This window comes from Homo sapiens, chromosome 12, assembly GCF_000001405.40.
Source record: "Homo sapiens chromosome 12, GRCh38.p14 Primary Assembly".
Classification (NCBI taxonomy): Eukaryota; Metazoa; Chordata; class Mammalia; order Primates; family Hominidae; genus Homo; species Homo sapiens.
The window spans coordinates 45,824,540-45,849,825 of NC_000012.12; the positions used below are offsets into that span (position 1 = coordinate 45,824,540).

Consider the following 25,286-nt stretch of genomic DNA (forward strand, 5'->3'; position numbering starts at 1 on the left):
ATCATCAGGAAAATGTAAATGAGAACCACAATGAGATATCATCTCACCCCAGTTAGAATGGCTGTTGTCAGAAAGGCAGCAAAATAACAAATGCTGGTAATAATGTGGATAAAAGGGAACTCATACACTGTTGATGGGAAAGTAAGTAATATAGCCATTATGGAAAACGGTATCCCACTACTGGGTATTTATCCAAAGGAGAGGAAATAGTATATCAAAGGAATACCTGTGCCGTCAATGTGCATTGCAGCATTATTCACAATAGCCAAGATATGAAATTGACTGAAGTATCCAGTAACAGGTGAATGAATAAAGTTATATATATACATATATATATATATATGTATATATAAAATGAAATACTATTCAGCCCTAAAAGGAATGAAAATGTGCTATTTTTGTAGCAATGTGGTTGGAACTGGAGGTCATTATGTTCAATGAAAACCTAGGCACAGAGTGAGAAATATTTCATGTTCTCACTCGTATGTGGGAGCCAAACTTGTTGATATTTTGGAGGTAGAGTAGATTGGTGGTTACCAGAGGCTAGGAAGGGTCAGAGGGTGATGTACAAAGAGAGGTTGGTTAATGAGTACAAATACCTAGTTAGAAAGAATAAATAATAAATTCTAGTGTTTTATAGGACAGTAGCATGACTATAGTTATCAATAGTTTATATTTCAAAATAGTAAGAAGAGAAGATTTGAAATGCTCCCAACACAAAGAAATGATAAATATATGAGGTGATGCATATCCCAAATACCATTATTTGATTATTACACATTGTATGCATGTATTAAAATATCACAGGTACCCCATAAGTACATACAGTTGTTATATGTCCATAAAATTTGTTATTGAGCTATCTTGCAAATTTGTATTAAAAGGGAGTCATTTTAGGAAATGGTAACTGTTAAGTAGATTTTTCTAGTGGCATTTTAGCTTTTCTTTATTGCTAGTCTTTAGGTTTAACTAACAAAAACTGCTAATGATAAGCTTCAACTAATCAAAAACTTTATTCTTTAGCAGTCTATTTTAAGTATTATAAATTGTCTTTAATGCATCAAGACTTACTTGACAATTTTAGAGGACAAGTTAGGAGGATTGGTTGAGCCCAAGAGTTCAAGACTAGCCTGGGCAATATAATGAGACCTCGTCTCTACAAAGAAAAAAAATAATTAGTTGGGCATCGTGGTGCATGATTGTAGTTCCAGCTACTTGGGAGGCTGAGGCAGAAGGATTGCTTGAGCTCTGGAGTTAGACACTGTAGTGAGCTATGATTGTACCACTGCACTCCACCATGAGTAACAGAGTGAGACCCTGTCTTTAAGGGGAAAAAAAAAAGACTTTCTGGAAACTTTCATGTAGATCAGTATGATTTATTGAATTTTTTGTAGATTTTAGATGTTTAAATAGTTAGAAAATCCTTACAGGCTTGGTTTCTAACGTATATTCCCACTAGGGCATTTTTCTTTTATAATGGAACTTTTTCTTTACCTAAGAAGAGATAAAATTAAAGAGTTATAGTTAGGCATTTAGCATCAATGGCTTATATAAAAATAATTTTATATTAAGTATTAGTTGTCATGTAGATTTGTTTTTCTATCATAAACATATTTTTACTTGAATTAAAAGTTAATATAGACTATATATTAAACACTTTACGTAGTTCTCTTTATCATTTTTCTGTTTACACAGTTTTTTTACAAAACAGTTCCACTGTAAAGTATTTCAACAAATAGGAACCTATAATGTCTCTTCAGAGATGTATACATGAATTTTATTTTAACGAGCTGGTAATATTTGAATTAATAGTTAAATAGTGGGAAAAGAGAGAGAGAGAGAAATGTTTTCCTGGTTTTACAGAGGTTAGTCTTTATTTTTTATTTATTTATTTTTCTTTGAGACAGTCTTACTCTTATCACCCAGGCTAGAGTCCAGTGGTGCCATTGTAGTTCATTGCAATGTCCTCGGCCCAAGGGATCCTCCTGCCTCAGGCTCCCAAGTAGCTAAGATTACAGACTCCTGCCACCATGCTTGGCTAACTTATTTTTTATTTTTTTGTAGAGATAGAGTCTTGATATGTTCCTCAAGGTAGTCTCAAACTCCTGTTCTCAAGCAGTCCTCCTGCCTCGGCCTCCCAGAGTGCTGGGATTATAAGCATGAACCACCCTGTCTGCTCCCTTATAGAAGTAATTGATGCATGCTGTGGAAAAGCTAGAATTTACAGCAAAGGGCAGATATTAAAACCATTATTAATCACACCCATTCAGAAATAAACACCATTAATATCCTTATATACATCTATCGAGTCTTTTCTATGCATATTATTTAAAGCAAAAGTTTTATTCAGAATTTAATTTGTAACCTGTTCTTTTCACTTATTACAATGTTAGATTTTCTTCTCATCCTTAATGTTTAGTATTTTAATGGCTACTTCATTCATATTACACATTTCATAATTCATGTAAATAATCCATATTTTCAGAAATTTAGATTGTTTCCATTTCTTCTTATTATCAACCTACCTGGGATGTACGTACTCACATCCAGGCCCACAAGTATAAAAAACGTTTTTTCTTAAGTTAACTCCAAGACAAATTTGCAAGTCAAAGAGTATACTAGATCCTTCACAAGAAGTATACCATCTTAACTGAATTTTGTGGTAAAGTTACACTTTTCATATTGTTATCCAGAATTAAGTTTGTAGCCCAAAATAGCTAGGCCTATTGCTACATAAAATATTGTATAATTAGTTAAAATGTTTATGACATTTATCTGATAATATCTGATAAGAATTATCGGATTAATAGCTTTAAGTCACCTTATTTCAGAGAAAAAAATACTTGAACTAATTTATTTGGTAAAATATTTTGTACATTAATTCATTTATTTAAAAAATATTTACTATTTTCTGTGTGCCAATACTTTTCCAGACACTGGGAAAACAAGGTCTCCCCTCTCAGCAAATTTCCATTCTATGATAGGAAAACAGACAATAAAAGTAAACAATGTTATTTGAGGCTTTTGCAAGTATTGTGAAGAAAATAAAGCAAGACAATGTGATAGAGAGTTATAAGACATGTGAGTGTATGGTAACGTTAGATAATATGACCAGAAAGGCTTCCCTCAGGAGGTAATATCTGATGATTTTTAGTAGGTTTGAATGATAATAGGTGACCAGCACTGCAGAGGAAGAGTCTTTCTGACAGAGGGAATAGCAAATGCAAATGTTCTGAGGTAAGAACAAATTTAGTTTGAGGTATAGAAAGTATGCTTATGTGCAGGACCATGGTAAACAAAAGGAAAAGTAGTAGCAGACAAATGTGCCTGTTTCAGCTGTGAATATGCAGTTAACAGAAAATTTTAATTAATGACAAAAGATATGTTAATCGTATTATTATATGTATTAAAACTAAGCTTCAGGATGCATTGACTTTGTAATTTAATATATTATCTTTTTTGGACTCCTATAAGTACTTTTTAAATTATAACACATACTTAGTGTATATGTATAACACATACATAAGTATACACCTCAAGATGTGTTTATAAAGTGAATACACTCATGTAATCGTTACCCAGATGAAGAATTAGAACATTATCAACACCTCTGAAGTACGCCTATTCATTCCCCCTTTCAGTCACTTCTTCATTCACTCCCTTATCTGTTAACCTTTCTTCCTTATTCTACTTCTCTTTTTTTCTTTTGTTCAACATCATGTTTGTGAAAGTTTCATGCATATCGTTGCAAGTATTTGTATTTCATTCATTTCTATTGTTGTATAATGTTACATTGCATGAATATGCAGCAATTTGTTCTACTGTAAAAAGCAATAAGGATTTAGTTATTTCCAGGTTGGACACAAATAATTTTGCTATGAAGGGTTTTATATATGCATTTTGGTAAATATATGCATGCATTTTTGTTGGGTAATTGACCTAGGAGTGTTAATTGCTAGGTCATAGGGTATGCATATCTGTATTCAGCTTTGGTAGATACTACCAAACATGTTTCAAAGCAGTTGTACAGTTTTACCTTCTCAGCAGTAGTATGTCGGTTCCAGTTCCTCGTTGTTGACAGTATTTGGTATTGTCAGTCTCTTTCATTTTAACTATTACAGTGAGTGTGCATTGTTACTGTAGCTTGGTTTTAATTTACATTTTTTCTTGTTTGATGAGAACTAGAATACCTTTGGCAATTTTGATAGCTTCTTTTAGGCAGTGCCTATATTTTGTCCATTTTTAAATAATTATCTTTTTGATTTGTAAGAGTTTTTTTTCTATATTTTGGATAAAATTTCTTTTTAAGATGTTGGAAATATTTTCTCTCTAGCTTGCCTTTTCATTCTTGAATGGTGTCTTTTGATGAACTTACATAACTTAATTTTAATGTAGTTTAACATCAATTTTTCTGGAAGTTGGCCATTTTTTAGTTCTAGTTACAAAATTTTGCCAACCATGAGGTCAAAAACAGAATGTGTTTTTTTCTGTTTTACTTTTCACACTTAGATCTATAATTTTTATTGTGTTTTTGTGTATGTGGTATAAGCCAGGAGTAAAGATTTGGTTTTTTTCCCTCATATGGATACCCACTTGAACCTACAATATTTGTTTTAAAAACTGTGTTGCAGTATCACCATTGTCATAAATCCACCAATCATATATGTATAGATCTTTTTCTAGATTCTTTTTCATTGGTTTATTTGCCCCGTTAGGGCTTGAAAGTACCAGATTTTTAGTCAAGAAACTGAAATTCTTCCTACTACATTTCAGTAAAAATTTGTGTTTTCTAATTAGAGAAAATATTTATTTTCCTATTTTTATGTGTAGCTCATTGCTAAAAATGTTATTTTTGTTTTTATACCTCTATGCAATTTAAAACCCCAGAAAGCAGATCTTTTAATCTTATTTTTCTGTCCTCATTCTTTCTTGTGTATTTCATCTCCCTTCTGAGTATGTGTTTTTTTCACAGTATAACACATCTTTAACTAGATCTTTCAATGAAGATATTTTATTGATAAAATTCTGAGTTTTATAATTGTCCTTATTTTTGTCCATGTTCCATTTATAGATTGTAGATTATAAGTTATATTTTTATTGTATTATTGTCATTCTGTTGTTTTTTGCGTTTTCTTCTAGGTTATCTTGTCTTTATTTTTGTCCATGTTCCATTTATAGATTGTAGATTATAAGTTATATTTTTCTTGTATTATTGTCATTCTATTGTTTTCTGCCTTTTCTTCTAGGTTATCTTTCTTCTTCTTTTTTTTTTTTTTTTAATCAATTTCTGACCTTCTCTTAATTCTGAGCAGCATTCTGGGTAATTTCCTTAGGCTTGTTCCTTAATCATTTTCAGCTGTGCCTAATATGCTGCTTGACTTATTTGTTAAATTTCTATTTTAGTGATCATGTTTTAATTTCTAGAAATTCTCTCCATCCTATTTTAGATTTGCCCTTTTGATCTTCTTTTTTATGTTTTTAATAATTTTGAAGATTTTTAAAAATCTTTTAATAAATTAATTTGAATTATATAAATATATAGAAACAAAATATATAAATATATAATATGTAAATTAAAAATTAAATACACTTGATTGTTCTAATATCTAAAGCTGTTGTGACTAATTTTACTTATTCCATGGTGGAATATTCCCTTCTGTTTTATAATATTGGTTACAAATTTCAGCAGACCAGTTTTTGTAGGGTTTTTGTACAGATTGGATTGAAAGTTCATTCTTCCACTACTCTATTGCAATTGCCAATCATCTACAGAGAAATACTGGTTCAGAATGACTGTATTAATTTCTTCATTGATTTTCGGGTAACTCGAGTAGTTACTAAAACCAAATCAATGGAGATTGGGGAGTAGGCCAGTGGTACAAAATTTGGGGCATTATTTTTAACCCAAAACTACGGTAGAGACAGTCAAGCCCTTTTGCCTCCTTTTCTTTGAAGGTATTAGATCTTCAAAGTTTTCACCATGATACAGAGCTGCATTCCTAATTCCCCACTTCATAAACTGACCCAGGGTCCTATATTCTGTCCTCACTACACTGCATCAAGAGCGAAACCATTTGGTTATAGAATTATATACTTTTTTTTTTAACTCCAGAAAATTAGTGATGAAAGTGTAAATTGCACAAAGTGTTTAAATAAATACCCAGTCACAATGGGGAGTGGCAGTTATCAGTATAATCACTAATCACATGAAATCAAGAAAACACAAATGGCTGGGCACGGTGGCTCACGCCTATAATCCCAACACTTTGACTTTGGGAAGCTCAGGTGGGCAGATCATTTGAGGTCAGGAGTTTGAGACCAGCCTGGCCAACATGGCAAAAGCCCATCTCTACTAAAAATACAAAAAAATTAGCTGGGCATTTTGGCGGGCACCTGCAATCCCAGCTACTCAGGAGGCTGAGGCAGGAGAATCACTTGAGCCCAGGAGGCAGAGGTTGCAGTGAGCCGAGATCATGCCACTAGTGACAGAACGAGACTCTGTCAAAAAAAAAAAAAAAGGCATTAGAAGAAAACACAAATATAATTGAGGAAGATTAGATGTTTCCTGCTGTTGTATGTGTTTTCATTAATTTCTGCTTTTCATATATCTTTCTATTGCTGCACTTTTTCTAACTTGTTAGGAATTAGAGCTGGTGCTTACACGATTGATTGTTGTTTTTATTTTTTTAATATGTACATTCTAATACATACAATTAAGACCACAAAATTACCTCTAAGCACAGCTTAACTTTATTCTACCAATTTGATATGTCATGCGTTCATTACAACTGAGTATCTTCTCATTTCCACTGTGATTTCCTCTACGTGGGTTATTTATTTAAGTTTTTAATTGTTATGGATATGTAGTAGGTTCATATATTTAGGGATACAGGAGATATTTTGAAATAGGTATACAGTGTTTAATGATCACATCAGGGTAAATGGGGTATTCTTCACCTCAAACATCATTTCTTTGTGCTATAAACATTCCACTTATACATTTTTAGTTATTTTTAAACATACTATAAATTATTGTAGTCACTCTGTTTTGCTATCAGATACTAAATCTTATTCATTCTGTCCAGCTATATTTTTGTACCTATTAACCATTCCTACTTTGCCCCAGCCTCTGGTAACCATCATTCTACTCTCCATCTCCATGAGTTCAGTTCAGTTGTTCTACAATTTCCTGAGATGTGAATGTTGAAATCATCAACTGTAATTATGAATGTTTATATATCCTTTCAGTTCTGTCAGTTTTTACCTTACGTCTTTTGAACCTCTGTTGTTAGTTGCATACACATTTACAGTTGATATATTTTCATGATGAATTAACTTTTAAAAAACATTATGTATGAAACTTAGCTACAGCTTTCTTATTATGTTGTCATAATATATTTTTCCCATCTTTATAGTTTTTTTCTGTGTTTTTATACATAGCGTTTCTTTAGATACCATATAGTTAGCACTTATTTTCCTCCTCCCCACAGTCTGCCTTTTCTGTGATTTCTGCCTTTAAGTCAGTGCATTAAGCCCATTTACACTTTAGGAAATTAATGATGTAGTTGAGTTTAGGCTCTCAACTTTTATTTATCTAAAAATTTTATTTTGCCTTCATGTTTCAAGGATATTTTTGATGCATATAAAACTGTAGGTTTTAGGGTTTTGTCTGAGCACTTTAAAGATAGCATTCTTATTGACAAGAAGTCAACTTTTTTCTTATTGCTCTTGTATATGTATTGTAGACTCTCACTACTTTTAATATGTTCTCTTTATTACTGATATTTAATTTGGTTATGATATGCCTTGCAGTTTCATTGCTTATTTTACTTGGGGTTCATTTAGTTTCTTGGATCTGTGGTTTGGTATCTTACGTAAAATTTGGAGAGTTTTTCACAATCACTTCTTCCAATATTTTTCTTTCCCCTCTTGTTTTTTTTGTTTTGTTTGTTTTAGAGACAGGGTCTTGCTTCGCTACCCAGGCTGGAGTGCAGTGGTACAATTATAGCTCACTGCAACCTTGAACACGTGAGTTCAAGCAATCCTCCTGCCTCAGCCTCCCAAGTAGCTGGGACTATAGGCATCCACCACCACACCCAGACCCCTCTTCTTTTCCTGGTACTACATTTACAGTCTGGTCTCTGAATCCATGGGTTCTGCATCCATAGATTTAACCAATCACAGATTGAAAATATTTGGGGAAAAAAGCAATTTAAAAAACAGTAAAAAGTAATAAAACTAAAAAATTAAAAGAAGACAGTGCAACAACTATTTACTTCACGTTACACTGTATTAGGTATACTGTATTTAAAGTACACAGGAGGATGTTTGTAGGTTATATGCAAATACTATACTGCTATACCATTTTATATGAGGAACTTGAGCATGTGGAAAATTTGATATCTTTGGAGAGTCCTAGAACCAGTCCCCACAGATACTGAGGGATGACTGAATATGTATATTAGATCATGGGGGTGTTCCACAGGTCACTGAAGCTCTTTTCAGTATTTTTAGACCTTTTTTGTTTTCTGTGTACTTAATTGTGGATATTTTCTATTGTTATGCATTCATCTTTTCTAGTTAAGCAAATCTTGTATATTTTCTTTATTTGCAGATACAGATGGTCCCCAAGTTATGATAAACTTAGTTTTTTTGACTTTACTATGGTTTTATTGGGGGTATTAAATGCATTACGATGTTTTAGACTTACTATGGGTTTATTGGGACATAACCCCATCATAAGTCAAGGAACATCTGTATTACATTTTCCAGCTCAAGAAATTTTATTTGATTGTCCTATATTATCCATTTATTTGCTAATTATGTTCATATTTTTATATCACTGAACATACTTAATAGTTTTTTAATGTCATTGTTAATTTTCTTGTTATCTTTGTTATTTCACTATCTTATTTTTCTTGAAACTGATTTTTGTCTTGGTTATGGGTCCTCATTTCTTTGTAGGTGTGGTAATTTTTTATTAGATGTGAGTGTTGTGTGAGTGTGACATTGTTGAGTGTCTGAACTTTGGCATTTTTCCAGAATGTTGAACTTTGTTTTAGCAGGCTGTTAGTTCATATATGGATTATCAGAGTAGGGTTGTTTTAAAGCTTTATGACATATGTAGATTAGCCTTTACTCTAGGGCTTGTTTATTCCTTCTACTTAGGTATGACATTTTGGGAATTTCTCCTGAAAGAGCTAGGTGTATATGAGTTTTCTCTATTCTAGGAATTGTTTAATTACAGCCTCTTATAATTGTTCTCTCCAGTTTTTTGACTAGCATTGTGGAGTTTGAGCATACATCTGTGTAACTTAATACTTAGCAATGAACTCAAAGTATATGTATGTAGATTCATGGAGCTCTTTCTCTGCATAACTCTTCCCTTATTGAAAATTTGCTCTCATATTCTAGCCTCCTTAGCTTTGCTGTGCTCTGTTCAGTGTTTTCAGCTTAGCAATCACTATGATATCTTGGGTTTCTCTTCCTTATGCTTTAGTCTAGAATTAATGTCCAAATAAAAATACCAGTCAATCATTGGAATAACCTCATTTGTTTCTCTTGTTCAGTGATTACAGTCTTGCATTACCTTTTTTCCAATCTCTGAAAACAGTTTTTTCATACATGTTGGGTTTTGGTAGGATGACTACTCCAGTACCATACTCCATATGGCCTAAATAAATAGTCACTTGAAAGTATTTTTCTAAATTTTAAATTTACCTTTTTTTTTTTTCTACCCCATGACTTTTTGAAAGTGTTTTAATTTGGCTTAACCACAGTTACCTTTATCATTTATTCTTCCTTAGATTGTAGATAATGAGCTTTTCTGTTTTTTATTTGTCAGAAAATGTTTTTATGTCACTTTCATTCTTGAGGAACAGTTTCACTATTTAAAAAATTCTATGTTGGCAGGCTGGGTACAGTGGCTCACGCCTGTAATCCCATGTAATCCCAGCACTTTGGGAGGCCGAGATGGGCGGATCACCTGAGGTTAGGACTTCACGACCAGCCTGACCAACATGGTGAAACCCCATCTCTCCTAAAAGTACAAAAATTAGTTGGGCATGGTGGCACGCACCTATAATCCCAGCTACTTGGGAGGTTGAGGCAGAATCGCTTGAACCTGGGAGGCAAAGGTTGCAGTGAGCTGAGATCACGCCATTGCACTCTAGCCTGGGTGATAGAGCGAGATTCCGTCTCAATGAAAAGAAATACGTTGGCAGATATTTTCTTCCATCATTTTGAAAATATCCCATTGTGATTTTTCTCTTTGTTCTTCAGGAGTTTTATGATGACGTTTCCACAGCTTTTTTCTTTTTTTATCTTTCTTGGAGTTTGTAGTGCTTCTGAAATATATAGGTTAACATTTTTCAGTTATTTTAGAATAATTTTCTGCCCTTACATTGTCACATATTCTGTCTGCCCATTCTTTCTCTTCTTCAGGAACTCCAATTATTTGTATGTTAGAACTTTTCACTGTGTGCCTTATGTCTCATACACTTTTTTTCTCTTCATCCTTTTGTCTCTTTATACTTCAAACTTATTTACTTGCCCTCTCTTCTTGCTCATAAATTCACTCTTGGGTTGTATCTAATCAGTTCTTAAACATATCCACTGAATTCTTAATTTTAGTTATGTTTTTCAGTTGTAGAATTTCTTTTTAGTTCTTTCATATAGTTTTAATTCCTTTGCCAAAATTTTTAGTTTTTTATTTCTTTGAACTTACTATTCATTGTCATTTTAAGTTTTGTGTCTGATATCTTTAATATCTGAATTCTTGTGGCCCTTCTTTCTTGGTTATTGAACATTGTCTTTTAAAAAAATGTGCCTACTTCTTTTTTATTGCTACCAAACATTGTTTGTCATAGATTTTTTGTGCAATGGATTTCTTTGATGATCACATGAAGCCAGTAAGCCTTTTTCCAACTAATGGTTTTAAATGCCTAAGAACTTTGATTCCAAAAAAAAAACCCAGTTGTTTTGAAATATACACATAATGTCACAGATACTGCTAATATTACTATAGTTCATTGCTTAATATTCAGAGTTGAAGAAATTCTAAAGAAATGTCAGATTTCCAGGCCGGGCGCTGTGGCTCATGCCTGTAATCCCAGCACTTTGGGAGGCAGAGGCAGGCGGATCACAAGGTCAAGAGATTGAGACCATCCTGGCCAACATGGTGAAACCCCATCTCTACTAAAAATACAAAAATTAGTTGGGCGTGGTGGCGCGTGCCTATAATTCCAGCTACTCGGGAGGCTGAGGTAGGGGAATCACTTGAACCCGGGAGGTGGAGGTTGCAGTGAGCCGAGATGGTGCCATTGCACTCCAGCCTGGGTGAAAAGAGCGAAACTCCATCTCAAAAAAAAAAACAAAAACAAAAAAGAAATGTCAAATTTCCAGTAGTGTTTAATGTACATAGAGATGTCATTTTTCCCCCATCCAAGTTCACAGATTTCTGATTTCTTTCACAGTCCCTTTAGTCGTCTGTGGCCCTCAGGTTAAAAAGCCCTAAACATAAAAAGATGCCTTTTTATATAAGTATCTGAAACTATAGACAATCAAATATTTACATCAAAGAATTAATTCCCTAGAATGTAGCAATATCCACATGAACTAAAAATAAGTAGAAACATTATTTTCATATTGTGTGACTATTTTTTAAAACTTATTTTTAAATTTAATTTTGAGATGGGGTCTCACTCTTCCGCCCAGGCTGGAGTGCAGTGGCACAATCACAGCTCCCTGCAGCCTTCAATTCCAGGCCTCAAGTGATCCTCCTGCCTCAGCCTCCCAAGTAGCTGGGACTTCAGGCACATGCCACCACTCCTGGCTAATGTTTTAAATTTTCTAGTTTGTAGAGATGGGGTGTCTCTTTGCTGCCCAGGCAGGTCTCAAACTCCCAGCTGCAAGTAATCCTCCCATCTTGGCCTCTTAAAGTGCTGGGATTACAGGCATGAGCCACCATACCTAGCCTGTGTGTGACTATTTCTAAAGCAATAGAATAGTTGTTTCAAATCATGGAGAATTAAATAATTTATCATTACAGTTTTGGAAAGACATCGTTGATGATAATGAAGTTCGTGACCTCATTTCTGACAGAAACAAGTCTCATGGTAAGTTAGTGAAAGCAAAATTTTTCAAAACCTTTGAAGTATTAATAAATGAAATATTAAGTGAAATATGTATTTTCTATTGTAGAAGGTACATCAGGAGAATGGATTTGGGAGTCTTTATTTCATCCACCTCGAAAGCTGGGCATTAACGATATTGAAGGACAGCGGGTACTTCAGATTGCAGTGATTTTGAGAAATCTTTCCTTTGAGGAGGGCAATGTTAAGCTCTTGGCAGCTAATCGTACCTGTCTTCGTTTCCTATTACTTTCTGCACATAGTCATTTTATTTCTTTAAGGCAATTAGGCCTTGACACATTAGGAAATATTGCAGCTGAGGTAAGCATGTGACTGTACCTTAAACTAGTTTTTATAGTTAGCAACATTTATGTTACAATTTTAGGATGTGGCATTTTATAGTTGCCATATTTATAGACTATTAAATGCTTACATGTATTAGTTGCTAAAAATGGTGATGTAGAAGTATCACATACTTTTATGGAAAAAAGTATTTGAAATGATGCTTTAAATTCAGAAATGGCTATTTTTACAATAACATTTTTTAACGTTATGCAACATTGTCCTGTTTATTTTTTATTTTTATTAAATTTGAAGTATACAACTCTGGAAGAAGCATAGCTCAATAATAGTGTTGTTTCTTTTTCCAGCTTTTACTGGACCCTGTTGATTTCAAAACTACTCATCTGATGTTTCATACTGTTACAAAATGTCTAATGTCAAGGGATAGATTTTTAAAGATGAGAGGTGAGTTTTCACTGAAGTATTTACTTTCTAAAGTAAACAAACTATCATTTCTTAGTAATACATATTTGTATGTTTTTCAGGCATGGAAATTTTGGGAAATCTTTGCAAAGCAGAAGATAATGGTGTTTTAATTTGTGAATATGTGGATCAGGATTCCTACAGAGAGATCATTTGTCATCTCACTTTACCTGATGTGCTGCTTGTAATCTCAACACTCGAGGTGCTATACATGCTCACGGAAATGGGAGATGTTGCTTGCACAAAAATTGCAAAAGTAGAAAAGAGCATAGGTAAGACTGGACCAAAAAACACTTATTTTCTTTATTGAGTAAAAGTGTTTAATATGGTACTGTACAAAACCCTCAATTTATATTTGAGGTTTAGTGTTTTATTTTGAAGAGTCATTACCTCCTCAGGCATACTTGTTTCCATTATTCTTTATTATGCTTTAAATTCAGTGATGGCTATTTTTACAATAATTACATTCTTTAACGTTATGCAACATTGTCTTGTTTATTTTTTATTTTTATTAAATTTGAAATATACAACTCTGGAAGAAGCGTAGCTCAATGAGCAAGAAGCATCTATAATTTAGAAACCAGGATTACATGGCTATCAGTAATTCCTATTTCTTCTCTTAATTTCTGTTGTTACGTATTAAATTTGAAATGGACAAAACTGCTATATCTAACTTATCTGAGAGCAGGTCTTTCTGTTTCATATGGCCAGCTACTACTGTTAAACAATTAAAGCTAAGTGAAATATGTTTCCTTCTGTTCCTAGAAGTTGCTGGTAGTGCTGCAATCTTTAAAAATCATTGAAGTCACCTCCATAAGAGCTATCAGTTTTAAATATACTTACTAACACATGCCATGTTAACGTTTTACTTGGTGATTAAAATGATATCTTTCTTAGGTATAATAAATATTAAAATCAGAGTTAATAAAGATTCAGCTTGAAAACTGTTCTTATTGAGAAGTTAATGTGTCACTTTTCATATCAGTGATTCTTAAATCTGGCTACACATCAGAATCACTTGAGAATCTTTTCAAGTATATAGATATCCACTGCTGGGCATGGTGGCTCACACCTGTAATCCCAGCACTTTGGGAGGCCAAGGCAGGAAAATCACCTGAGCACAGTTCAAGATTACCCTGGGCAACATAGTGAGATCTCATCTGTACGAAAAATAAATAAAATTAACCAGATGTAGTGGTGCATGCCTGTAGTTCCCAGCTGCTTGGGAGGCTGATGTGGGAGGATCACTTGAGCCTGGGAGGTTGAGGCTGCAGTGAGCTGTGATCGTGCCAGCACTCCAGCCTGGGTGACAGAACAAGATCCTTTCTCAAAAAAAAATATATAGATAGATAGATAGATATAGATATAGATATCCAGCTCCCACTCCAGAGCTATTAAATCAGTCTTCAGAGATTGAGCCTAAAAATGTTTTGTTTTTTTTTTTTTTTGAGACAGAATCTCACTCTGTCGCCCAGGCTGGAGTGCAGTGGCCTGATCTTGGCTCACTGCAAGCTCCGCCTCCTGGGTTCATGCCATTCTCCTGCCTCAGCCTTCCGAGTAGCTGGGACTACAGGCACCATGCCCGGCTAATTTTTTTTTTTTGTATTTTTAGTAGAGATGGGGCTTCACCATGTTAGCCAGGATGATCTCAATCTCCTGATCTCATGATCCGCCCGCCTCCGCCTCCCAAAGTGCTGGGATTACAGGTGTGAGCCGCCACGCCCAGCCTAAAAATCTTTTTTTTTAAAGATGCACAGGTAATTCTGATGTACTGTGATTCATGGACTAGCATTTATTCACATTGATAAGTATTCTGTACAACATGTGTTCACCAGTGATGGCATTCATTTATAATATTATTGACTAATAACTATTGCTTTTTATTTATTTTAGACATGTTAGTGTGTCTGGTTTCTATGGATATTCAGATGTTTGGCCCTGATGCACTAGCTGCGGTAAAACTCATTGAACACCCAAGTTCCAGTCATCAAATGTTATCTGAAATTAGGCCACAAGCTATAGAGCAAGTCCAAACCCAGACTCATGTAGCATCTGCCCCAGGTTAGTGTTTTCACATATTCTTTTTCAGTGTGGTTACGAGTGTATAAGATTTGATCCTAAGAATAAATTTCAATGTGCAGTATAGAGAACTGATATTTTACAGTATAGTAGGCCAAAGTGGAATTTGGATATGTACTCTAATTTCTTAGATATTATACATTCCAGGAGTAGCAGGATCAAGGTGAGCTCATAGGAAGAATAGTATAATAGGAAAATTAAGTTCGGCAGGATTTAGAGTAATGTGATGAATTAGATATTCATAATTACGATAGCTATAAGTGCCCCAATAGGCATATTATTTGTGATTTTGGTCATGGGAAATTGACATGCCAGGAATAGATTATTCATATATTACCTTATGATTTTCTCAGGTGATCATCAGGACGCGTAAGTATAATACTTCTAATGTCCTTAAGTGTTGGAACCAACACCACAGAATCAACAGCCTAGGAGAAGACACATGCACATATGTATACACACACTTACAAGCATGTATACCTGCATTTATGCACCTTTCCTAGTGTCTCTTAGCTCAATTCTGTTTAGCTCAACTGTAATTATAGTACAGACATGTCTAATAACCAGACTTCAGTCCTTGAACTCCTTCCACTGGCTCATTATGAGTCATCATTTTTTATATTTTACCACCCTTAACCTTTTTTTGGAGTGCTTTCTCTACCTTGGTTTATACTAAAAATACATATTTCATCTCACCTACCCTTCCATTTCCTATCCTCTCACCTCCTGCTGTCCCCAAGACACTTAATCTTTCTTTATATTTTTTGAATGGAGGATGCTCGTGTTCTCAATTGATCTTAATTCTCACTTTGCAATTAATACAGAGGCTGTGTAGAATGAATTTCTTCAATTTTTTACTCCTTCAGTTACAAACTTATTAGCATCTGGACTCATTTTCCTTTAGCTTCTGCTCATTTCAGAAAGAGATGCTAATTTCTTCTGAAACTTACTCTGAATATCAGTCTTTCCCATCTCCATGTTCCCATATCTTAAATCTCTTTTTATTTACTCACTTTTTCCTTTCAGCTAGAAATGCGTTTAGGTCTCTTATCCTCCCTCGCTAGCCCCAAACCAAAAATTTCATTATCCTTAATCTTTAGCCATCACATCCATTCATCAGATCTTGTTGAGTCTTCCTAAATACCTGGCCTTTTCAATTGCCAATGCTTATGAATGAGATTGAACTCTCATCATCTCTAGCTATCTGTTCTCACGTTCATTCATGGTCCCAATTTGTCTTCTACTCCAACTTGTAGTATGAAAATTATGTACTCTATGCAAAGTATGTAATAAGTATCACATATTTCATTGATTTCCATTATGTCCTTCTGAAGTGTATAGATTTGTGTCATATGTTCACTCAACTAACTTGGATCCACCTAACAAAAGTGGACAAATAACAGAAGGCACAAAATAGATAATTTTGACTGCCAGTCTATTCAATGAGCTTTCAACTACAGGTAATAGATGTTAAACAGCCGATTTATATTGGGGAATCTTTGGTCAGAATATTAATGGTTTCTCAACCTTGAGAAAGAAATGAAACTGTTCATATTGCTAGTTAAGTGGGAGGTGGGAATGTTTTTTACCATCAAAGAAGAAACTAAAGATTAAATTAATTGAGGGACATAAAGGAGCAGTGTTAGAGAAATTGATAAAATGTCAGTGAATACTCAAGGGTGATTTGATGAAGACTATTTTTTGCTGCATGGTTAGCCTTTGACCTTCACAGTTCTTTTGACCTCAGCAAATGAACCTACTTCTCAATCTAAAATTTGGTCCTCATTTGGCAAATGAATGAATTTAAACATTGAGAATTTGTGGCTTATTCATTTATGTAGTAATTAATTCATTCATAGAGATGGGACTAGACTGCTCAGGATTGAAAAGAGTTAATTTTCAGCTGGAGAGCACTTTATTACTTGTGCTCTCCCTGAATGACAACTTTAAATTGTTTGATTGGTTATCCTTTGTGGTTTAGCTATTGCCTGCATAGTTTAATGCTGCTTTTTTTGGAATTACCATCTTTAAACTTTTTGCTCACTTCCCTCAATCCCTCTGAAAACTTTTATAACCTTTTACCCATTTTTAGGTTAACATCTAAATCTCTATCATAATTTAAATAGTTGCAAAGTATGTATTGTCTTGATGTATATTAAACTACATTTTTAAAAGAAAATAATTACAGTGCTTTTTGTATGCAGTGGAATCTTGATACCATCATTCATTTTTTAAAATACACAAACTCTTTAACATCAGAAATTTTATAATATTCCTCTTTCACCTTGAACTTGTATTCCAGTATCCTCACAAGAGTTTTATCCTAATATAATACATTTTATGTTTGAGATTCTTTTTTATTCATCACCCTGTCAATACTTTTTAGTTACAAAATAGACATTTTTAAAGTTTTTCAATTCCTTGTTATTCTTTAAAGCTCTAAATTTTAAAAATTTCATTTGGCCAGGCACTGTGGCTTACACCTATAATCCCAGCACTTTGGGAGGCTGAGGCAGAAGGATCACTGGAGGCCAGGAGTTTGAGACCAGCCTGGCAACATAGTGAGATTCCATCTCTACAAAATCAGGAAAAAAATTAGCTGAGCATGGTGATGCATGCGTGTAGTCCCAGCTTGGGCCCAGGGAGTCAAAGGCTGTAGTGAGCTATGAATGTGTCACTGGATCCACCTTAGGCAGTAGAGCAAGAACCTGGTCTATCTCAAAAAAAAAAAAAAATACGTATATGTATATACATATATACACATACACACACATATGTGTGTGTATATATATACACACATGTATATGTATATATATACACACATGTATATGTATATATGTGTATATATACACACACATATATAAAACACACATACATATATTTTATCATTACAGGTTTTATTAATAAATGGTACATCAAATAGTAAATACATTGTAAATTTTTATAAATAATTATTAAACAAGGCCGGGCACAGTGGCTCATGCCTATAATCCCAGCACTTTGGGAGGCCAAGGCGGGCAGATCTTGAGGTCAAGAGATTGAGACCATCCTGGCCAACATGGTGAAACCCCATCTCTACTAAAAATACAAAAATTATCTGGGCATGATGGTGTGCGCCTGTAGTCCCAGCTACTCAGGAGGCTGAGGCAGGAGAATTGCTTGAACCAGGGAGGCAGAGGTTGCAGTGAGCCGAGATCATGCCACTGCACTCCAGCTTGGTGACAGACCAAGACTCCATCTCAAAAAAAAAAAAAATTATTAAACAAAAATTTACTTGAAATGTATCTCTTAATAAGATGAATAGGACTCTCCCCTCTAATTCTCTAGATGCTATTAATTCAGTATATCTCTCAATGACTATTACTTACTGCTAGAATGAAACTGGAATTTAGCATCAGTAGTATCCCTGTTTCCCTTTTTATAGATGTAAATTGAAAAATCTAGTTTGCATTATTAAATAGATGAAGATAGAATTTACAGTTCTTTGAACTTCAGAATTATCCAAAAAGTATTAAACTTATTTTTTACAATCATCTGAAAACTTGAGTTCTCCTTTGTTTTGTTGAAATCAAAGAATTAGCAAGTACCTGACTGCAAGAATATTTGTGGCTCAGTCATTAGAGGCCTTTTTTTTTTAAGTTTCTGGAAAATATATCAAAAAGATATTAACAAGATATGAGTATAAATTATACTTGTTACTGTTTTACTTAGGTATCTTGTGTAACCTGATATATTCAAGAAGTTTTAGCACAGTGGTTCTCAAACCTTAGGTACATCAGAATCATGTGATAGACTTATTAAAGATTTCTGGGCTACATTCCCTGAGTTTCTGGATCAGGTGGGACCTGAGATGTTTTCTTCTTTTTTTTTTTTTTTCTAAAGACAGCGTCTCACTCTTGCCCAGGCTGGAGTGCTATCTCAGCTCACTGCAACTTCTACCACCTGGGCTCAAGACTATCCTCCCACCTCAGCCTCCTGAGTAACTGGGACTACAGGTGGCCACCACCACACCCAGCTAATTTTTGTATTTTTTTAATAGAGATGAGATTTCACCATGTTGCCCAGGCTGGTCACAGAATTTTCATTTTTATCAAGTTCTCATGAGATGCAGATGCTGCAGTCCAGGGACTGTATTTTTAGGATTACTGGGTTGGGAAAATTGAAATATTGTTCATTTCAAGACCGTTACAATGTATTTGATGTTTAGGTGCTTTTTATCATATACTTCAAATATATTTTTGTGAAAACCTTGACACTGCAGATTTACCTCAGTTGATTTTTCGGAAAATGTCTGCCACGTAACCTAGTAAAGATAGTTTTTATTAACAAAAGTCTCTTGCTTAATCAGGCTCTTTTTGTTACTTAGAAAAAGTCCAATGTTGTTTTTCAATTCAAGAAAGTATGTTAGTATGTTAGTGTGACGCGTTCTTTCCTTCAGAATTTTAACAGTTGAATTTGCCATGAGTTCGTAATCTGAATGAAATAAAATACCACCACCTTCTATACTTTTTCTTTCTTTCTCTCTTTCTTTTTTTTGAGAAAGGGTCTCACTCGGTCACCCAGACTGCAGTGCAGGGGCGCCATCAGAACCTGGCTCACTGTAGTGTTGAGCTCGGGAGCTCAATCGATCCCCCTACCTCAGGCTCCTGAGTAGTTGGTACTACAAGTACATGCCACCAAGTCTGGCTAAGGACGGGGTTTCACTATGTTGCCCAGGCAGTCTCAAACTCCTGGGATCAAGCAATTCACCCACTTCGGCCTCCCAAAGTGCTGGAATTACAGGCATGAGCCACCATGCCTGGCCCACCTTTGATATTTCTTTAAAATATTTTCTGTACTTTGTTTACACAGGATTCTGCCTAAGAAGTAATGCATTCTTTGACAGTAGTTAAGGAGGCAAGGGCATTAAGCAGAATTATCATTACTCTACAATTTATCTGAATTTAGAACAAACCAAGGGGCCAGAATACCCAATTTCTAATGCCCAACTTTGCCCTCAATTGTAATATGTAAAATACTGGTATTGACAGGAAGCTATACCAATAATACCTTGGTTAAGAGGCTTCATGGATACTAATGTTTCTAATTCTCTCTTTAGTGTTCCACGTTACACTATAACAATAATAATAGTAGCTAGCGTTTATATAGTGCTTACTTTGTGCTAGGCATTATTTTAAGTGACTTGCACATAATCTAATCCTTATAGCAACATACGAGGTTAGTGTACTGTTACTTTCCTCCATTGTATGGACAGAGTTATTTTGCTCATAGTTACACAGCTAGCTAGTGAGTGATGGAATTCTCTGGCTCTGGATTTATGCATTTAACCATAATGCATAATCCTGCAGAGCTATCAAAGATGGGTGAGAATTAAGTCATTTGATTCCAAAATGAGAGAAAAAATTATCAAAGAGGAGGTGATATTCTCATGCAAAGCAGTTTTAGGAAGAATACATAAGAAAGTTGAGTATCTGGAAATTGATTCAAAGTATAAGCACCTTCATTTAGAATGTCTTCAGGTATCCTGAGGGCAGTGCTCCTCAGTTTGTGGCTACTTTTTATAGTAATTATGTTTCCAGTTTAAATTCCCATTTGTGATTTTATTCCTCTTTCTACATTGTTTATAAAGACTTCTCATGATTTCAACGTAATTTCTAGTGTTTCATGAAATTGATTGCTAATTCATTCAGGAAATTTCAGTCTAAGTAGGGTATGCTCTTTCATAGTAGAGATGATAAAGGGAGGAAGATTTCTACACAGTTTCAGGCCCTAGAAAGTATTTTCTGTATTAATATCGTCAACTTAGAAGGGGAAGAAAAGATAAGCTAGGATTGCCAACAGGAAAAATTATTTTTGTTCTAACTGTTGCATTATCTCAAGGAGCATATAATAGTATGGCCTCTAAAATGTGACAGACCTGGATTCAAATCCAACACTTTTAAAAGAAGTCCTTCCAAGTATACCCAGCTCTGCTATCTCCACCGTGTTCCTGGCTGAACTTAATCTCTGAGCTTTAGTTTTCTGATCTGTAAAATAGGTATAATTAAACTTAGACTTAAAAGATTAAAATATATAATGTAAATATAAATGGATTTATACAGAGTATATGTTTATTAAATGGCTACAATTAGCTGTTACCTCAAAGAAAGCATGGGGCATTCATCAAAGGTTATGATTGCCTCAGATCATTCACACATTTGGCTGTACTATGGAGCTTGCCTAGTTCCAATAATTTTAAAATGCATTTGTTCTGTTTGAGGGTTCTGAGAAGCTTTGCTAAAATATCATCTGAAAAAAATTGTGTATAATCTGTGTGCTTAAAAACTACATTGCCGTGTCACATAGCAAGTTTTCTAAAAACCTACAAAGTAATGCTGATCAATAGTGAAAAAAGGATAATTAATTTTTATTTACAAATATATGATTCAGACTTATAATTTATAATATGACTTTATACTTTTCATGTTTTCCTTAGTTCCTTTGTATAACATAGGGGAGAAGAAAAGGTAACATACATCATTTTTCTACAGATCTCTTCAACATGTTAGAAAATAATAGGTGATTTACTCATTTATTCATTGACCTTGAAACTTTTAGAATATGTCATAGATGCAACTTTAGAAAGTATGTGTCTTAAGATTAATAGCTAGTACATTTGTATACAACCAGGTTGCCTCTTTCAGGAAAAAAGTATAATTCAAATTTATTATTACAACAGATATCTTCTTTTTTTCTTCCCCAGAAAAATTATGGAAATCCTTTTTTGAATATGGGACTTTAAATTAGTTCAGCTTTTGTTCACTGTATTCCAAAAATTTTATATATGCCACTTACAGAGTTATTAATCTTTTAAATTAGGGAGTGAAGCCATAATTTCAGCTGCGTTCTGCTTCCGTAGCTAAACGGAAAGATGCTCAACTTACGTGTTGAACTGTATGACCCTGGGCCAGTTTTTTAAATCACTTTGAGTCTCAGTTTTCTTATCTGTACCTACCTCACAGAAGAATTAAGTAAGCAGATATTGTAAAGTATTTAGTTCAGTGTCTTGCCCATGGGAATAACAGAGGTTATATTAACTAAATCATCCATATTAATTGTTATTATTTTAATGATTGTGAGGTTAAACAAAATAGTTCATATGAATCCTCTAAGACAGTGCCTGGTATGATATGTGCTCCATTATATATTAGGTTTGTTCTCAAATGTGTATACTTTCATATGTTTATACACCTTTTAAAAAGGTATTCATTGTGTTAATGGGTTCAATATCCATAAAAAAAAGTATGGCAAATAGTGACTAACTTTTAAGAAATGATGTAGCTAATGTATTTTTTTCTTTAGCTTCCAGAGCAGTTGTAGCGCAGCATGTTGCTCCACCTCCAGGAATAGTGGAAATAGATAGTGAGAAGTTTGCTTGTCAGTGGTAAGTGGTTTATTTCTATTAAGGATTTATCCTTGGGAGGAGTAAAGCAAAGAAAAAAAGGAAATGTATTCTACAGACATCCAGAATGTTTTGTTCTGTATTCCTTTTTAGTTAGAGTAGAATATCATTTACACAAAGAAAGGACACTTTAAAATCCCCTTGTATATTGGAATAATTTGAAAGAAAAATATTCATCAGAATTTTCAGAATTAAAATAGTATGACTAGAATGTCATTAAATTACACCATTTAACTTTTTTCAGAGTAAAATTTGTGTTAAAAAGTTATCTTTCACTTTGTAGAAAGTACAGTTTGTCAGGTTACAAAATTTGTTCTTCTAAAATTAACATTTTGTTAAAACTGAATTGGACTGACCTTAAGAAAATAAAAGCAGGTGTTTTAAAATGTCTCTTCTCTTCCATCTAAAACAAAACTTCTTATTCTTTAATAATTTTTGGGTTTGTAATAGTAGACGGACATTAATCAAATGATAGAACAGAAATAAGCAGCTTGACAATAATATTTCCTTGAAAAGATTGTGTAGTCCTATCTGCACCACTTTCTGAAAAAAAGCAAATGAAGAGTTTTAAAAATTTCACTTGTTATGGATAGTTGCCTCAACATTAGTATGAAGTTCGGCTTAAATTCTTTAGAAGATTAACAGATTGAATTACACAATCACTTTCCAATGATATATCACTTTAAAAATTTCTTGATCACTTTTCTGCCATTCACTAACATTATTTGTCTCCCATTTCATGCTCCTGTCACTCTTTGTTCCGTATTTTTGGTGCTTTCAATACATTTTTGTTCCTATGACAGTTTTCTCCAGACTTTTCTACTTTGCTTAAATCGGGTTTATGGTTTTAAATATCTCTAATTGTTTGCTTTTTCCTCACCTTCTATATTTTTACACATTGGCCCCTTACACTTGAATCTTTTCCAGTAATATTTGGAAATGTTGTTTGTCTTCTACATTGCAACCAAAATGAAGTTTTTATATCTAGTCTTTTTGAAATTTCAGTACAGACAGGATTATGAAAGTTGGAAAGAATACACACCATAACCACTATAAAATGTGTATGTGTTAAGCATAGATTTGGTCTTATAAATCCCAGTTGCACGTTTCTGCTATTTCTTGGAGAGGGGGAAGAGAATCATTTTACAGTTTTTTTTTTAAATCATAATTACTATTTGATTTAGTTTTTCAGAAAAACTAAGTTTAGCCTATTATACATAGTGAGTTATGGAAAGAGCCTATCAGGGTAATCAGGCCTCCAATCCCAATTTATAGGTAAAGGTCATTTTAAGAAAAAGACAAAATGAGGTTTGAATTAGTTTGTAATGGATTACAAATTAAAACTGTTTTGAAATGGGGAAATGGGAGTGTGCAGCATGGAAAGTGTCATTGTTTTAGGAAGTAGCTGAAAAGCTTGGATAAGTTTTTTCTGAAGGAATTTGATCCAAGAGCCAAGGAAAGTTTAACCTTAGTTCAGTTTCCCCCCATTTTCTTCAGCTACAATGCAAATAGCACGTAATTGGGAACTTGTTTTATGTTATGATTATTACAAGACAGGATGCCGAATAGATATTCACTAAATAAAACTATTTCTTATAGAACATTTGTTGTCAGCAGACCAACCCTGCTCTCATTGGGATGTGAACATAGTTTTTATATTTGTTGTCAGTGTCATTTTTAATACTAAAATAAGCATGTTAATCTATTGATTTAATCTAAAATTTAGCATATATTTTTGCTACTAACGTATGAGTCAGTGAAATTTGATTAGTAGGTATAATTATTAGTTTTAACACATTGCCTCCACATGGCTTTAGTATATTTAAATATGGAGTTTCCTAGAGTATATTGTATAATGCTTAATTTTTCTCCTCTTTTAGGCTAAATGCTCATTTTGAAGTAAATCCAGATTGTTCTGTTTCTCGAGCAGAAATGTATTCTGAATACCTCTCGACTTGCAGTAAATTAGCTCGTGGTGGAATCCTAACATCAACTGGATTTTATAAATGTCTTAGGTAGGATCCATAGTTCTTTAAATAAAGTCCATTTACGTCACTTACAACATCTCTTGCTCTTTAAAGAAAATACCAAATATCTTATCTAGTTTTAAATATTTCTACTACTAGAAGTTTCGTATGGATAGGTTATAGTGTGGTGGAGGTTTAAATAAAAAGCAGTTTCAGAAATCACATCTAGTGTTTGTGTTGGAACATTATGAGATTTATCAAAGAAATGAAGTTTACTTTCTTTTTCCTACCTACTTTTACATGTTAAAGACATGACTGTATCTTTTTAATCTTGAATAATAGAATATAATATTATTATCTTCAAATACAAAGACTTTTTGATATTTTGCAAAGTACATAAAAATAGGTATCTTTTATTAGTTATATGTGGGTGGAATTGTTTAAAACCCAGCGACATTGTTAATAAATAATGATGTTTTAAATGGGATGATTAATCTTTTATATTTCTTTGCTTTCCATCCTTGCAGAATATAACTGTGAGTCATACTGGTTCATACATAAGCAACAGTAAACATACTGCTGTTGTTCATGTAAACATAATGTTAGAAGTCAATGTGATAGTTATCAAAACTTACTGATTATGTATGTACTTTACAGAACGGTCTTTCCAAATCATACAGTGAAGAGAGTGGAGGATTCCAGTAGCAATGGGCAGGCACATATTCATGTGGTAGGAGTAAAACGGAGGGCTATACCACTTCCCATTCAGATGTACTATCAGCAGCAACCAGTTTCTACTTCTGTTGTTCGTGTTGATTCTGTTCCTGATGTATCTCCTGCTCCTTCACCTGCAGGTGTTAATTTTTATTGTATTTTTAAAGTATTACTGATTTAATAATAAAA

The 25,286-nt window shown here is 33.7% G+C and overlaps 1 protein-coding gene and 1 long non-coding RNA gene across 4 annotated transcripts in view; one reads left to right on the plus strand and one right to left on the minus strand.

Annotated features, from left to right (window-relative positions):
• Positions 1-25,286, plus strand: part of ARID2 (AT-rich interaction domain 2) — a 178,332-nt gene that overhangs the window by 94,834 nt on the left and 58,212 nt on the right. For all 3 annotated transcript variants that reach the window (NM_152641.4, NM_001347839.2, XM_047428489.1), the window contains exons 7-14: positions 12,050-12,116; positions 12,202-12,452; positions 12,782-12,878; positions 12,959-13,168; positions 14,790-14,957; positions 22,317-22,398; positions 24,297-24,431; positions 25,041-25,237. In NM_152641.4, coding sequence (NP_689854.2) covers positions 12,050-12,116; positions 12,202-12,452; positions 12,782-12,878; positions 12,959-13,168; positions 14,790-14,957; positions 22,317-22,398; positions 24,297-24,431; positions 25,041-25,237 — 1,207 coding nt within the window. The remainder of the gene's footprint in view (positions 1-12,049; positions 12,117-12,201; positions 12,453-12,781; positions 12,879-12,958; positions 13,169-14,789; positions 14,958-22,316; positions 22,399-24,296; positions 24,432-25,040; positions 25,238-25,286) is intronic.
• LOC105369745 (uncharacterized) lies at positions 1,361-25,107 on the minus strand. The gene is made up of 4 exons (XR_944892.3): positions 25,019-25,107; positions 20,893-21,001; positions 15,313-15,403; positions 1,361-1,494 (listed from the first exon to the last, which is right to left on the minus strand). It is a non-coding gene; the product is annotated as an uncharacterized LOC105369745 (long non-coding RNA).